Genomic DNA, 16,641 nt, shown 5'->3' on the forward strand with positions numbered 1-16,641 from the left:
GTACGTGGTTCTGATACTCTCTTTCATATTGTCTGCTGTGCTAAAATAAACCCTCTCCACTGTCCCAAACCTTCAGCAACATCCTGCTACTTGCCTTGTGCTGTTTATGCTCTTTGGACCAGCTGCTTGAGAGTTTTCTGTCAGTGAAAGGAAGAAATTATAGTTTCACCTCACTACAATCATATCGTAATAACAGCTACTGCTTATGGTACCCCTACTGTGTCTGGCAGTCTCTTTGGTGCTTTACTTGAATTCTCATACCCATTCCTCACAACAACCCCTTGGAAGTCAGTCCCACTATTATCCTATGTGGGTTCACAGATGAAAACTCAAGGCCCAAAAGGTAATGAGTGGGAAGTTAAGGAGAAAAGCACATATACTGGAGGCAGGACTTGGGCATTCAGCATCTCCTTAAATCTTTACAATGACCTTAAGAGGGAGCTGTCACCACAAATGAGGACACTGAGGCTGCAGAGTTCACAGAGCAAGCAGCATTCCTGTTCTCTGCCAGGATGAAGCCACTGAGAGTTCGTAAGTACATCCATCCCTTTCCGTAAAACTTGATGAAAGAAAGCTAGCAAAGATCTGAAAACATGGAGATACACGCAGTGCTCAGTGACTGCAAAACTCAATATAATAAAGATGTCAATTTTCCCCACAGTTATCTATGGATTTAACATAATTACTATCAAAATCCCAGAGGGATTTTTCATAGATACACACAAGCTGGCCCAGCATGGTGGCTCATGCCTGTAATCCCAGCACTTTGGGAGGTTGAGGCGAGAGGATCACTTGAGGCCAGGAGTTTGAGACCAGCCTAGGTAACATTACAAGACCCAGTCTCTATACAAAAAAATTAAAAATTAGCCAGGTATGGTGGCACATGCCTGCAGTCTTAGCTACTTGGGAGGCTGAGGTGGGAGGATCGTTTTAGCCCAGGAGTTCGAGGCTGCAGTGAGCTACGATCACATCACTGCACTCCAGTCTGGGCAAAAGCACTTGTTAGGAGGAGATAGAAAAGGAAAAGAAACTCTCAAAATTCAACAGTAAAAAAGACATAAATATTCCATTAGAAGGCCTGGCACAGTGGCTCACACCTGTATTCCCAGCACTTTGGGAGGCTAAGGTGAGAGCATCACTTGAGGCCAGGGGTTTGAGATAAGCCTGGGCAACATAGTGAGACCCCATCTCTAAAAAAAATTAAAACATTAGTCAGGTATGGTGGTGCACATCTGTGGTCCTGGGTACTCAGGAGGCTGAGGCAGGAGGATTACTTGAGTCCACATCAAAGCTTCAGTGAGACATGATTGTGCCACTGCACTCCAATCTGGGTGACAGAGTGAGACCCTGTCTCCAAAAAAAAAGTAAAAAATAGATTCCATTAGAAAATGAGCATGAACATGAATAGAATTTCACCAAAAAGAATACGCAGATGGCAAAGAACATGAAAAACATGTTCAACATCATTAGTCACTAAGGAAATGCAAATTAAAACCACAATAAGCTAAGCTATCATTGTACACCTATAAGAATGGCTAAAATAAAAAACAGTAATACCAAATGTTCACAAGGATGTAGAAAAAATGGATCTCTCATACAATGATGTTAGGAATATAAAATGGTAAGGCTCTGGAAATCATTCTGGCAATTTCCTATGAGACTAAACATGTACTTATCATATGACCCTGCAAGTGCATTCCTGGGCATTTATCCCAGAGAAATGAAAACTTATAGTCACACAAAAACCTGCATGCTGATGTTCACAGCAACTTTATCTGTAATTGCAAAACGAGGAAACAACCCAAATGTCCTTCAACTAGTAATTGGATAAAGAAATTCTGGTCTATCCACCCAAGGGAATACTACTCAGTTGGAACAAATTACTGATACACACAACAACCCAGATATGACTCAAAAGGATTACATTTGGTGAAGAACGTCAATCCCAAAAGACTACATTGTATAGGACTCTATTTATGTAACATTCTCGAAATTAGAAAATTTTAGAGATACAGAACAGATTAATCATTGCCAGGGAGCAAGGATGGGGCAGGGTGGGTATGATTATGAAGGGGAAGCACAAGGGAGGTCCTATTGAACAGTTTTATATCATGACTGTGGTGGTTGTTAAACAAATCTATACATGGGATAAGACCACACAGAAAAACACACACACATAAAAATGCATGTAAAATGGTGGAAATTAGGTCTATATTCTAGTTAACAATCTTGTAATAATTTCCTGGATTTGATATTGTACTATAATAACGTAAGGTGCCACCGTTAGAGGAAGCGTGGTTTCAGGTACATGGGACTCTGTACTTTTGCAACTTCCTTGTGAGTCTATAATTACCTTAAAATAATTTTTAAAAATAACTAGCGTGGGGCTGGGTGTGGTGGCTCACGCCTGTAATCCCAGCACTTTAGGAGGCCAAGGTGGGCAGATAACTTGAGGTCAGGAGTTCGAGACCAGCCTGGCCAATATGGTGAAACCGAGTCTTTACTAAAAATACAAAAATTAGCTTGGCATGGTGGCACATGCCTGTAATCCCAGCTACTCAGGAGGCTGAGGCTCAAGAATGGCTTGAACTGGTGAGGTGGAGATTGCAGTGAGCTGAGATCACGCCACTGCACTCCAGCCTGGGTGATAGAGCTAGACTCTGTCTCAAAAAAAACAAAAAAACAAACAAAAAAAAAACTAGTGTGGGATTCCAGGGTGGCAGAAAGTAGCCTTGGCGAATTTCTTTGCTAGACTTGTTTTTCCTGTGTTAGCTGTCTTCCGTGCACAGCTGGGGTAGTTTAAAAATTCCTCCTCCTTTTGACAAGTTTTACAAACAGTGCTAAAAAGAAGTGTATCAGTGCTTCTTTGTAAAAAGCATTATTATGTTTTCTAAAGTGACAGTTATTTTAATAATATATTTACAAATAAAAATTATATACAGATGGTGAAAATATTAGTACTTTTAGACCCTAAAGAGCTTTTGCTAATGTAGGTTACAGATCTATCAATATTTATTATATTAGAAATCAAAACTGAAAAATTTTAAAATTTGTATTAATGTATTTAAAATAAATCCACTGATTATCGTAAATAAAATTTTATTAAAATAATTGCATTTTCAGAAACAAAGAATTTAGGAATGTTTTACGTTTCTGAAAATCTCTTAAATGTCTGCCTCAGTACAAGACAGCTAGATTCCCATATTTGCTTCTGCATTTAATGTTGTAACATGCTGTTTTGGATAAAGTATATGAAGACAAATCCAACCTCATGGAGATATGTAGTTGGAAAAAGGATTTCCCAGTCACCTGAAAGGGTCTGTCTCAGGTGTCTCCAGGACTCCTCACACTACACTTTAAGAACCAATATGTTAGAGAGACATAATGAAACATTTTCAGATAAAATGTTAAGATGTCAGCAATTTGCACTAAAGTACTCCAAAACACACACACACATAAACAGACACAGACACACACACGTACACACACACACACACACACCCATGTATGTATAGTTGATTCATTATTTGTGGTAGTTATATTCTATAAAGTCACCTCAAGCAATGAATTACCAAATACCAAGCCACTGCTCCTAGTGGAAATACAGGTTTAGATTCCTGGGAGCCTCTGGTTGCATTCCTTAAAATGATCAATACACAACCTTGTTTTATGTATGCTTCTGTCTAAAGACACCTTCTTTAATATATATTTCTTAAAATAATAAATTATATGCAGTATTTTATAGTAAAACATTAGCCAAGAAGGGTTTAACATTTTCCTGATCCTGGGTTAACATAACCATAAATTTCTTTGGTTTTCAAAAGCCTCACAACCATGCTGTCCACTATGCTTTTTCTAATCAGTAGTTATGAATCCACAAATTTTGCTGCTTTTCCATTTATTCCATACCTTCATCACACACTAAAGATGTTATTTTAGCACCATACAGAGCGTCTTCACATATAGACTGGCAAGCCTTTCCTATTCCTTTTTCTGGATGTACTGTGTTGCTGATTTATTAACATTGAACTCACAGCAGACAGCGTTATAACTCATGCCTGATGGAAGCCTATCTAACACATGTATTTTCCTCTACAGGGCACATCACTGCCTTCTGGCTCTTAGAAACACTAGGCAGTACTTCAGCACTATGATTGGGGGACATTTTAAACAGCAAAATCACCAAAAAAGCCACAAAAATATGGCACTAGATCGACTACGAAAAGAACACTTGCTTACAGTATGAGAGCAGAAACAAGAACATTGCCTTTTCTAACCTCAGCTGGGAACACTGAGTGCCTGACAACTAAATTGTTTTGCCACTCTGTGCAGGTCTATGAATGACTATTGAAAGCACTGCAAGTATCGATTTGGGGTTATAGATAAGTCTGAAGTAAGTGAACTTGCAAATATGAAATCTGTGAATAATAATAATAAACTTTTTATATATGTATATATATATAACTACATTTATATATATAAGAATCAACTATATATATAAATATATATGTAGTTTTATTTATATATATAAAACTACAAACACATATATATCCACACAAATGTATGTGTGTGTGTGTGTGTGTGTGTGTGTGTGTGTGTGCCATTCAAATGATGAGCAGACACTGTAATTGTTGAAGCTGGATGATAAGTATATGGGGATTCATTTTACTAGTCTAACTTTGTGTATGTTTGTGATTTTCCATAAGACAAAGTTTTGTAAAGTAGTTTATCTTGGACTGCATTGCATTTCCACTTTCTTTAATTCCTTATCAGCACGCGGAAGTCTGCAGCTGTCAAAGGTGAAGTTCAAGTGACGTTTTGGTACAAACTGCCATCCACCACCAATCCAACTGACCATACATCCTTCTGGGGAGTACTAATCCAGTACGCACTCCCTGCTATAACAGGGACAGTGACAGGCAGAATTGTAACATCAACAGCTCTTTCTCTTGGAGAGAACCTCTGGGTCAGAGGTAATGGAACCCTGTATTATTTTGAGAGCCCATTGAGCCCAGACAAGCTGACTCTGTGGAAGTGTGGTTTTAATGTGTATGTATGGCTTTAGCAGAAGGTAACTTGGATTCTGGTCCGAGGGTGTGGATTCCAATCACTTAACTCCAGCCTGGGTTGAGTCAGCAATCCAGAGAAAGGGCTTCAGTCAAACAATTCTTAGGAGATCCAGTACTGTCCAACTAACCTTCATATATTCTCTCGACTCTAGTACATGGATATGCTTGACATTTTTAAAGAACAGGAGGTGGGCAGACACTTCCTGTTTTACAAGGCGAAGCATCCCACTATCCTTGTAAGCAAGATCAGTCTGTCCAGCAGAATTTTGCATCTCATCCCTTCCCTTACCTTCTCATAAACCTCATGCATCAGCCATCTCCTCTCTCCCCTATCTTCAACATTCTCTTTCTCCTAACTCTTCCCCATCAGCATATGCACACTCCCAAGTCTCTGTCATCTTCATAAAAATTCTCCCTTGATCTTATGTGATCCTCCCACTCCATCAGATCTTTCCCTTTCCAAGTTTAACGGAAATATAACGTGCATGTATGGTTTCCACTACTTCAGTGCCCAATGTTCCAGTTATATACTGCTGTGTAATAAACCACCCCAAAACTTGGGGCTTAAAACAATAATCATTTAATTATACTCATGACTGTGTGGGTAAGGAATGTGGGCAAAGCTCACTAGAGAATTCTCCTGTCCCACGTGGCATCTACTGAGGTCACTCAGTGGTATCCAGCTGGCTGGCTAGGTTGTTTTGGAGGGACCAAAATGACTTCCGTCATATGTGTGGCGCATTGGTGGGGATAACTGGAAAGCTGGGCTCAGCTGGGCTGTGCGTTCTCTCTCCATGTTGTCTCTTGACCTCTCCATTTGATTTCTCCAGCAGGGCAGTCAGACTTCTTACATGGTTCCTGAGGGATCCAAAAGACCAAGGCAAAAGTTACAGGATTCTTACAACCTATCCTTGGAAGTCAAGCAGCATTAATTCCCTGCATTCTTTCAGTTAAACTTTTGTACAGGGCCCACCAGATTGAGCAGTAGGGGGACTACACAGAGGTACAGTTACTTGGAGGCTTGGTTGATAGGAGCCACATGTTACAGACTACCGCCCCCATGTACTCCTCAAACCACTGCATTCCTCATCACTCCATTGAAATTGTAATCTTTGAGGTAAAGACAGACCTCTTAGTTGTTAAATCCAATAGATGCCTGTCAGTACTTGTTTTGCTTGTTTTTTGTTTTTGTTTTTGGAATTGGACCCTATTGACCACTAAATTCCTTCTTGAAATTCTCCTCCCCTAGCTTCTGTATATCACCTTTCCTTGTCTTTTCTTCAGTCTCCTAAAGTGACTTATTTCTTAGGCTCTCCCCTTATCTACTGGGTTTTGCTATCAGTTCTCTTCTCACTCTGTATATGCTACCTAGTTATATCAACTACACCTATAGCCTCATCTATCACTTATCTACTGGTGATTCCTCAATATATATCGCCATCCCAGACTTCTCTCCAGTGATCCAGAATCTCATGTACTCACCTAGATGTCCAGCGGGTACTTCAAACAGCCAAAGCTTAATTCGTCTTCCTTACACGTGCTCTCTTCCTTGTGTTTTCTCTCCTGTATTTACCACCCGCCTAGATGCACAAGGCTGAAACTTGGACGTCATCCTTAACTCTACCATCTCTCCTATTATACTGAATACAATCTGTCACTGATCCCCGACCATTCAACTTGCTAAAAAGCTTGTCAATTTATCTATTCCTCTCCATCCTAAATACTAGGTCTCTGGCAGAGGACTAGATGGGGGTCTCAGTTCATCATTCTGATCTGTAAACCATATAGAAATTAACATTTACTATAATACACTCAAACACATTTTTTTGTAAAGCAGAGGTGATCCAGAGATATCAGGATAGGAGATATTTAATGAGTTAAACTCCACATGGGGAGAGGCACTCAAGTTGGTAGCAATGGCATGTTGCCTTTCGGTAACCTCTAGGGTGAGGTTACTTCAGTTCCTGGGAAGCCCCAACTGGGGGCTTACTGGCTAATCAAGCTCCTTATGCCCCTGAACATGCCGTCCTGAAACATCAATTGCATTTAGTGTGATTATAAAAACTGCCTTTATCAAGCCTCATCATCTGGATCTCACATCCAGATTGTGTATAATTTCTTAATACATTGCCAGCACATCGTGGCTACACACACCACAGGTTACATCACAGTGACCAGACAGATTCTGGCTTCTAGTAAATGACCAAATAGCTCCTATCAAATCCATCCTCCTTCAGATGTAACAACTATACACCCTGGACAAAATTTTTTTTTAATTACCTGCAAGTATTGACAAGCAACCCAAGGCAGGCAGAAACTGGAGGAGAATCTACATTTAAAAGAAGAGATCAGAACTAAATGAGATTCCCATTTTTAAGACTTTGAACCACAGGGTAGGCCCCAATCAATTCCCTGATGGGTGAACCTTACTGACTTGAAGACAAGAGGACAGAGTTCAGAGTTTCCACAGCAGCTGAAAACTGTGGGGATAAAATCTTGGAATGGAGAGAGCCAGATAGGCAGAGCCCTGAATTCTGTGTATAAACTCTACCAAATCACTGGCTGACCTCTGAATTATGCATTCATGGGACAGTCTCCAAACAGTCTGTATAAGGCTAAAAGAACTGACTAGAGACTTCAGTTGCTGCCTGCCATGAGGGAGACAGAGCATGGAATTTGAGTTTAGTCAAGTTAAATGCTGCTGAAACAAAAATGTCAATACTTTTCAGAGGGATATAATGGAATCCAGATTCTCTAGAACATGTCCTCTGCAATAGCCAGGAGACAAGTCAAAATGACTGAACATTGTTTTGAGAAAAGTCAAAATGATTGAACACGTTTCCTATGGGAAACAGAAAAATGTAACCTATACCAAAGAAAAAAGGCAATCAATGAAGACTGACCCTGAGATGACTGACATGTTAGAATTAGCAGACAGGAATTTTTAACCAGCTATTATAATGATTCCCAAGGACACAGAGGAAAATATGCTCATAATGAATAGTTACCAGCTGTACTGCAACCATGTAAAGATGAGCACCCTATAGAGGTGGGTGGCTGGTTCACAGTCTAGAAGGTAGAAGAGACTGGGAGTGGCAAGCCTGGCCAGGACCTACAGCACCCACCGACACTGTCTTAGTTCAGATTCTTATTGTTTTTCATGTAGACCATTAAAACAGTCTCAAAAATTGCCTCCCTGCTTCTGGTTACTATTTACTATGACCCCCAGCACACACAGAAACCCTAAACACATCTGCATTGATTCCAGAATTACCTATTTGAACACAGATTTAATTAGGACTTTACTGATTCCAAGTAATAGAAACACCATTTGGGCCACAGAGTCAATTTACCCGAAGTTTCACATAATCATAAGTAGATGAGCCTCAAGGACAAGTACAATCAGAGACTCGAACATGAACAGGAATCTTTCAATTGCTCCTCCTGTAAGTTCACTTCATTCTCTGAAACAAGTTTCCTCCCCGTGGCTGTAAAAAGGGCCACCAGCAGCTTCTGGCCACACATCTCCTAGCTGTGCCACAAAACCAAGAGGCAATATTTTCCCTCAATTAAATTTTTAAAAATTGAAGAAAAACATTCTGATTGTCCTGACCTAGACCACATGCCACACCTCAACCAATCGAATCAACTGTGGCCAGGGAGACAGGTACTATGATTGGAAGCTCTCATGAGCACTGAATGGCTAGACAGGAGAGGAGCAGCACACCAGAGTCACAGAGGGGTTCATTTCCAAGGCAAAGGAAGGATTCTGGGAAAAGAAACTGTCAAATGATAAAGGTCTAACAGGTTTCCTGTGGTTGCCACTTCAATGTGTGGCAATATCATCCTCCACGCAAATGTCAGTGTCCTGGGATTTCTCTTACAGCAGAGACTTCTGTTGTTCCCCAACATCTGTTCTCCCCTTCCCCCTACCCAGTATTTTACTGCTTGAAACATAAATGCAATGACCAGAGGACAAGTGTCACACGGTGGAGACGATAGGACAGAAAGTCCATAAGTTATTTTGGATGGCTAATAACTCACAGCTGAACCTGATGCTAACTGACAACCCCCTCACTCCCCACATCTAATCAAGGCAAAACAACACTGAAGTTAAGAGTGTGGGTTAGAGCCAAACCACCTGAGTTTGAATCTAGGCTCTGCCACTTACTAGTTCTGTTCAGCATATTACTTTATCTCTCTGTTCCTGTTTCCTTAGGCATAAAATGATGTTAATGTACCTCATAGGTGGGTTGTGAGAATTAAGATCATTCACGTAAGCACTTAGAACAGTGCTCAATGAGTGTTAACTACCATTTTCAAGGCGTCTCAATTTTACCTACTAAAGATCTTGGAAGACTGTGCCTTCTTTCACAGCCCAAAAGCCACTTTCCATCACTTCAATGAGTCACTGCCTCCTCCACAGCGTCCTCCACATTGCCTCAGCCTGACCTTTCTGAAACACCTTGATCTGACCATGTTACTCCTATTGGAAACCCTTCAATGATTCTTCCTTTCCTACAAAATAAAGCCTTAACTCCTTAGCCTGGTGACCAAGGTTCCTTGCATAAGAGCCCGAATGGACTTTCTGGGCTCATCTCCTGCCACTCCTCCATGATGCCCCAAAGCCCAGCCACACTGAATTACTCTCTACCTTCAACTTCCTACCTGCCTCTAAAGTACTAACCACTCCCGTGTTCCCTCCCTCCTGAACTCTTTCCTCCCTTGGCTGCTGTGGCACCACACCCTCCTGGTTTGCTTCCAATCTCCCTGGCTATTCTTTTTCCATCTTTCTCATGGGTTTCTCATTCTTCAGCCCATCTGTGTCAAGGTTCCCAGGTTCCATCCTTAGCCCACTTCCTGTTTCACTGCATGTCCTGCCCCTGAGTGATGGCATCCCCTGGCAAGCTTCTAAGCTCCACCGACAGCTTCATGATCCCCAGATTTTCACTCCTAACCTCTTTCCTGAGTTTTGGTTTCACACATCCTGATATATCACACCCCCTGAATAGACACCTCAACCTCAGCATGTCCAAAACCGAACTCGTGTTTCCCACCCCAAACCCACTTCCCCTCTTTACTCTGAACCTGTTGCTGGCACCACCATCACCCAAGCCTGGAATTCTTCGATCTCCACATCTAAGAAACGACCAAATCCTAATTCATGTCCTCAATAACTCTCCAACCTGTCTTCTCTCCATACTCACTGCCATTGCCCTCGTTCTGGCCTAAATCCCCTCTAGCACAGACTCTGCCACAGTCACCTCCCTGCCTGCCTCCACTCACTGCTCCAATCCAATGGGCAACCTGTTACCCACCTCCAGCGAAAAACTCATCATGTCACTGCCCTGCTTGAAACTCTTCACTAGTTCCCACTGCTCAATCAGACACAATTATTCTGTGCCTCACAGTAGTTAAATATCTACTATGTACTGGAGCCTATGCTAAGTATGAGGAATGCTTGAAATGGCTGCTGCCTTTTAAGGAATTTACCATCTATCTGAGAAGACAGACATATAAATAACCACTAATAACATGATGCAATAAGTCCTGTGATAGACACACCCACAGAGTATTACAGGAGCACAAGACTTAGGGGTAGGAACCACATCTTCCTAATCTTTGTATCTCCAATATCTGATACCAACTTTGATTAACTAGAGAATTTTATTTGAATACTGAAAAGATGCCCTTCTCTGAGCCTCAGCTTCCCACTATATAAAATGGCTCACAACTCACATATCAAAATATATAATTATGTATTTATGTTACATATAACACACACATTATATATGTATACAATATGCATACACATTATATATGTATATAATATGCATACATATTATATATGTATATATGTCTGACATAGTGCCGGAAGTCTCAAAAGATGTCAGTTTTGCTTCTCCCCTCACCCCTTTAACTCCATCATGGGAGGCATAGCAGAGGAAACGGCAGGTCAGTGATGTAAGAATTAGAAGCCCAACAACTGAAGAACTGGAAACAGCATCATTTCTGTCCTCTGTCTGGTAATGACAGAATGGCTGGAGCACTAGGCAGCTCCAAAACAGCCTTGGGCAGGAACGGCAGTGCTCCAAGACCATCAGAACAAAGGGAAAGAAATCACAGCTTGAACTTTCGTGGACAGGAGAAAAAATCTGACGTGGACAGGAACATGGACTCCTGGCTGGAAGAGGGCTGCTCCTTTCCTCCGCTACTTGAATCCTTCTGCAATATCGCCACCTGGTGGCTATCTAGCATCCCTTTACTTAATTCCCCAGTGCAGTTTGCTCTGACAGCCCACTGCACTGTGAAAATTCTAGAAGGGAACAGCCTCGCTCAGTGAACTGTTTCGGAACTGCTCAAAGTTAATCATATCCTTCTCCATGTCCTGCAAAGTGTCTTGTACTCAAGCTCTATTATAGCACCTCTCATTGTATTATAAATGTTTACCTGTACGCATTCATTCATGCACCCAACAAATTTGTAAGTGTCGTACCTAGAACAGACAGGCAGAGGAGAAACAATGATGAACAAAACCAGTTGACCATGTAAAGAATTAAACATGTACACAGAGAATTAAAATAGCCATATTTCCAACCACTATAAAATAATTATTATAATATTTAATATTTGTTGAGCACTGAATACTGTATCTGTATTATCCCATTTAATGCTCACAACTCAGTGAGGTAGATAATATGATTATCCTCGTGTTACAGATGAAGCAAAAGAGGAACAGAAAGGTTGGGTAAATTGTCCATAGTCACACAGCCAGGAAATGCTAGAGCTCAGATTCAAGCCTGCCCTGGGTCCAGAACTCATGCAATAGTTAAAAACAAGCAAACAAACAAACAAACTACTGTAACCCCCGCCTCAATGCATGTTTGATGATTCAATAAATAAAAACCTTGTACCTCCCAAATTCAAGGAGATAAAAGTTCAGGTAGTAGAATCTCCTAGTAGGAGGTTTAGCTGATCAGGAACTTGACTCCATCCCTCTGAATCTCACCTAACCCCTGGAGATACGCTCTGCTTGATCCCTGCCTCTACTGTAGCCCTGCACCCCCCAAGCCCCAAAGTGAGTGCTCCTCCTTTCATGTGTGAACAAACATAAACCTGAAAAAGCCAATCCTTCAAGATGGATCTTGAGCAGCTCACTGGGCCTAAATGTAAAATAAAGCCAACGAGCCATTTGCCGACTAGGGGTCACACACATACTCTGAGTTCCCTGAAAACCTGCACTCTTTTATCTTTCAGACTTTCAGTGCTTCCCTGAACCAACCAATCAGAGCTCATCTTCCTCAGCCAATCAGAGCTCAGCTGTGTTGACCAATCAGGGCTATGCTATATGGACCAACCAGAACTCAGCTGCATTGACCAATCAGAACTAACCATGCTTCAATCCTTCGTTATAAATGTACTTTTGTTTTACACTGGAGGCTGTGACTCCTGGGTTTGCAACTGTTCACTGGAAGTCTCTTTCTTCCAGTCTCCTTTTCAGAGACCTTTTGTTCACAGATGTTCTGTCTCAAATATAGACCAAAAAAAACAAAACACTCCATATGATTCTTCCTAACATGATGGAGACAAGTTGGCATTTTCAAGATGCTACCAAATTCTAAAAGTGAACAGAACAGAAATAAATTTCAGAACGCATTCAAAAAGTTTCTATTTTGACCACACTCACACGGTTTTTAGGCTTTGTGCATTTGATATTTGGATTTATGGCTAGACTCAGAGATTTAACATGTGGCTGCCCACCAGCCAGCATAGTGGTTCACGCCTGTAATCCCAGCACTTTGGGAGGCTGAGGCAGGAAGATTGCTTGAGGCCAGGAGTTTGAGACCAGCCTGAGTAACAGGGAGACGGCGTCTCTACAAAAAAAAAACAAAATTTAGCCAGGCATGGTGACGTGCCCGTACTTCCAGTTACTGGGGAGGCTGAGATGTTAGGATCACTTAAGCCCAGGAGGCAGAGGTTGTGAAAAAGGAAAAGTTCTCTCGTACCCCTTGCAGGGTGTGCAATGGGGGGTGTAGCTCACTTCTTCAGTGCCCCACTGCTCAAACCTCTATGGGAGCATACAGATGGGCTGGGAGCCCCACGGCAGTGTCTAGGGGTGAATGTTTACAGCTGAAGCCCCAGTGGGCGTGTGTTACAGGGTGTTCTTTTAGTTTAGCTGCCTGTAGGCAGCTTGTGTTAGCTCAATTCGACCCCTGCCTTATTGCAAGGACAGAGAGCTTTCTGTATCCTGGAGTTCTTGCCTTGGTGTACTGGAGGAATCAGATCACACGTGGGCTTGGAGAATGAGTTCAAGATTTTATTAAGTGGAAGTAGCTCTCAGTAGACGGGGGAACCAGAAGGGAGATGGTTTTCCTCTGGAGTCAGGCTGCTTGCGGCCCAGGTTTTTTCTGACTGCCCTAGCCAAACTCCGTGTCGTTCTGCCGCTCAATGGCCTGCCGGCGTGCTGGTAACTGTCGATGCGTTCCTCTCCACATCCAGCCACCTGTGTGTTCCTCCACTGATGTGCTCCTCTCAATGCCCAGCCACATGTGTGTCTGCCTGCTAGCGTCTCGGGGTTTTTATAGGCACAGGATGGTGGTATGGCAGGCCAGGGTGGTCTTGGGAAATGCAACATTTGGGCAGGAAAACAAAAATGCCTGTCCTCACCCAGGTCCATGGGCATAGGCCCGGGGGTAGAGGCCTAGCCAGGGACCACACTCTTCCCTCCTTCCATATCATTTAAAGGGATCATGCTCTTCCCTTCCCAGTACTTCCCTTTCCCCTTCCCTATCAGTTGCAGTGAGCTGAAATGGTACCACTGCACTCCAGCCTGGCTGACAGAGTAAGACCCTGTCTCAAAAATAAAAATTGGCTAGGCGCAGTGGCTCACGCCTGTAATCCCAGCACTCTGGGAGACTGAGCCCAGTGAATCACTTGAGGCCAGGAGTTCAACACCAGCCTGTCCAACATGGTGAAACCCTGTCTCTACTAAAACTACAAAATTAGCTGGGCGTGGTGGCACATGCCTGTAATCCCAGCTACTTGCGAGGCTGAGGTAGGAGAATTGCTAGAACCTGGGAGGTGGAGGTTGCAGTGAGCCAAGATTGCACCACTGCACTCCAGCCTAGACAACAGAGTGAGAAACTCCATCTCAAAAAAATAAAGATAGGCTGGGTGCAGTGGCTCATGCCTGTAATCCCAGCACTTTGAGAGGCCAAGGCGGGCAGATCACAAGGTCAAGAGATCGAGACCATCCTGGCCAACATGGCAAAACCCCATCTCTACTAAAAATACAAAAATTAGCTGGGTGTGGTGGTGTGTGCCTGTACTCCCAGCTACTAGGGAGACTGAGGCAGGAGAACTGCTTGAACCCAGGAGGCGGAGGTTGCAGTGAGCCGAGATTGTGCCACTGCACTCCAGCCTGGCGACAGAGCAAGACTCTGTCTCAATAAATAAATAAATACATAAATAAACAGATAAATAAAATAAAAATAAATAAAATAAAATGTGGCTTTTAGTAAACACTCTATGCAAGACATTGTGCTTTGCACTATTGATGCATTCTCTCATTTAAACTTCTCACCAAACCTGTGAAGCAGGTAGATATTCCCATTTTACAAATATAATAGGACCAAAGAGATAAAGTAAGTTTCCCAGGGTCACACAGCCAATAAGCAGAAGATCTGGCATTTGAACTTAAGTTGTCTGACATCAGGTCTTGAATTTTTTATGACTATGATATACAGCCTCCCCTCCTTATTTATTTATTTATTTTGAGACAGAGTCTCACTCTGTTCCCCAGGCTGGAGTGTAGTAGTGGGATCAAGGCTCAGTGCCACCTGGACCTCCCAAGCTCAAGAAGCAATCTTCCCACCTCAGCCTCCCAAGCAGCTGGGACTACAGGCATGTGCCACCACACCCTGATAATTTTTGTCTTTTTTGTAGAGACAGGATTCCGTGTGTGTGTGTGTGTGTGTGTGTGTGTATCACAGCATAGTTTCTGGCTTTCTCCCAGGGATAAGCCTGGCTTTTATTCTTGCATTGGTTCAGTGAGGGGATTTAATTACATATAATCTCCATGGCTTGTGTTAAATTGAACTACTTCTTACCACCTATTTTCTTCAACTAATCACCTCTTGCTCACTCTGTAGAACTAGGTTAAAACTCATAGCTCCTGCAAGAAGCCTTCCCTGGTCTCTCCAATTACCCCCTTTAACATTGGTCTCTCCCAAATTCATTCTAAAGGAGAGGTCCAAGTCTAACAAATTTTCTGGGGAATACCATAAACAGTAGAGGAAATTGGAAGTCCATCTCTGGGGAAAAAAATGAGCTCAAACGTATCTCCAGATGTTTTCATATGTCTATGAGCACAGAAACAGTCTGGCAGGGACAAAAATGACATGGTCTCACTGGCTGCCCATAGTTCTCACCCACTGGCCTGCTTGTGAACACAGCCCAGCCTCCACCCAGGACAGTCTTTTAGAGTCCTGAAGAGACAGGAGAAGGCCACCTTAAGCATTTTTTTTGGTCAGTCCAAATCCTGCCCACCGCTAAGAAGTTCTGACCCAAATATACACATATATCAAAATTATTATTTCATACGGAGATCTGATTATGCCCCAGGCAAAACAGAAACTTATGAGTAGGCATTTTCAGAATGGCAGAGTAAGAACCTCCAAAAAATCTGCTCCTCAAATCAGCAAAGAGAATATTGGCAAAAATTGTTAAAATCAAGTTTTTCAATATTCTGGAAATTACCCAAAAGCTTGCAGCGATCTAAGGAGCATTTATTCAAGAAAACAACTGAATCTTAGCAAGAACACTGATCTTTGTGGCCTTTTAACTTGCCCTATTCACATCCCCCTCTCTTTTGCTCAGTGATAGCCTTGAAAACCAGAAGCCTCGCAATCGCAGTAAGCTGTGAAATCCAGCTGCTGGGACAACTGGATATGCGCCTGGAAAACAAAGCTGGGCTCCTACTTTACACCACATGCCAAACTTACCTGAAAACAAAACAAAGGCATAGGAAAGAAAAATGTAAAACTCCTAGAAAACACAGGTGTAAATCTTCAAAACCTTAGACATTCACATGAATTTTTACAATAAAACAAGTGACTCAGACATTTTGTACCTTGGCCCATAACCATGTGGTCAGTTGGTAGCCATACTCAACATTTATAACCAATATCTCTGAATGCTCACTGATTAAACAATTCCAACAGTACAAGGACTTCTACTACTCTTTTTTTCCAGATAGAGTCTCACTCTGTCACCCAGGCTGGAGTGATCATAGCTCACTGCAGTCTCCACCGCCTCAGCTCAAGCGATCCTCCCACCTCAGCCTCCCGAGTAGCTGGGACCACAGGCATGCACCACCACGCCTGGCTAATTTTTGAATTTTCTGTAGAGACAGGGTTTCACCATGTTGCCCAGGCTGGTCTCCAACTACTGGGCTCAAGCGACCCACCTGCCTTGGCCTCCCAAATTGCTGGGATTACAGGTGTGAGCCACCACACCCAGTCCTAGGACTTCCATTCTTACCTACAGATAGAATAGGTTACCCAGCAAAAAC

At 42.4% G+C, this 16,641-nt stretch overlaps 1 protein-coding gene across 1 annotated transcript in view; it reads right to left on the reverse strand.

Moving 5' to 3' along the window:
- SLC25A53 (solute carrier family 25 member 53) overlaps positions 1 to 16,641 on the reverse strand; it is a 57,796-nt gene that overhangs the window by 26,083 nt on the left and 15,072 nt on the right. The window lies entirely within an intron of this gene.

This window comes from Homo sapiens, chromosome X, assembly GCF_000001405.40.
Source record: "Homo sapiens chromosome X, GRCh38.p14 Primary Assembly".
Lineage (NCBI taxonomy): Eukaryota > Metazoa > Chordata > Mammalia > Primates > Hominidae > Homo > Homo sapiens.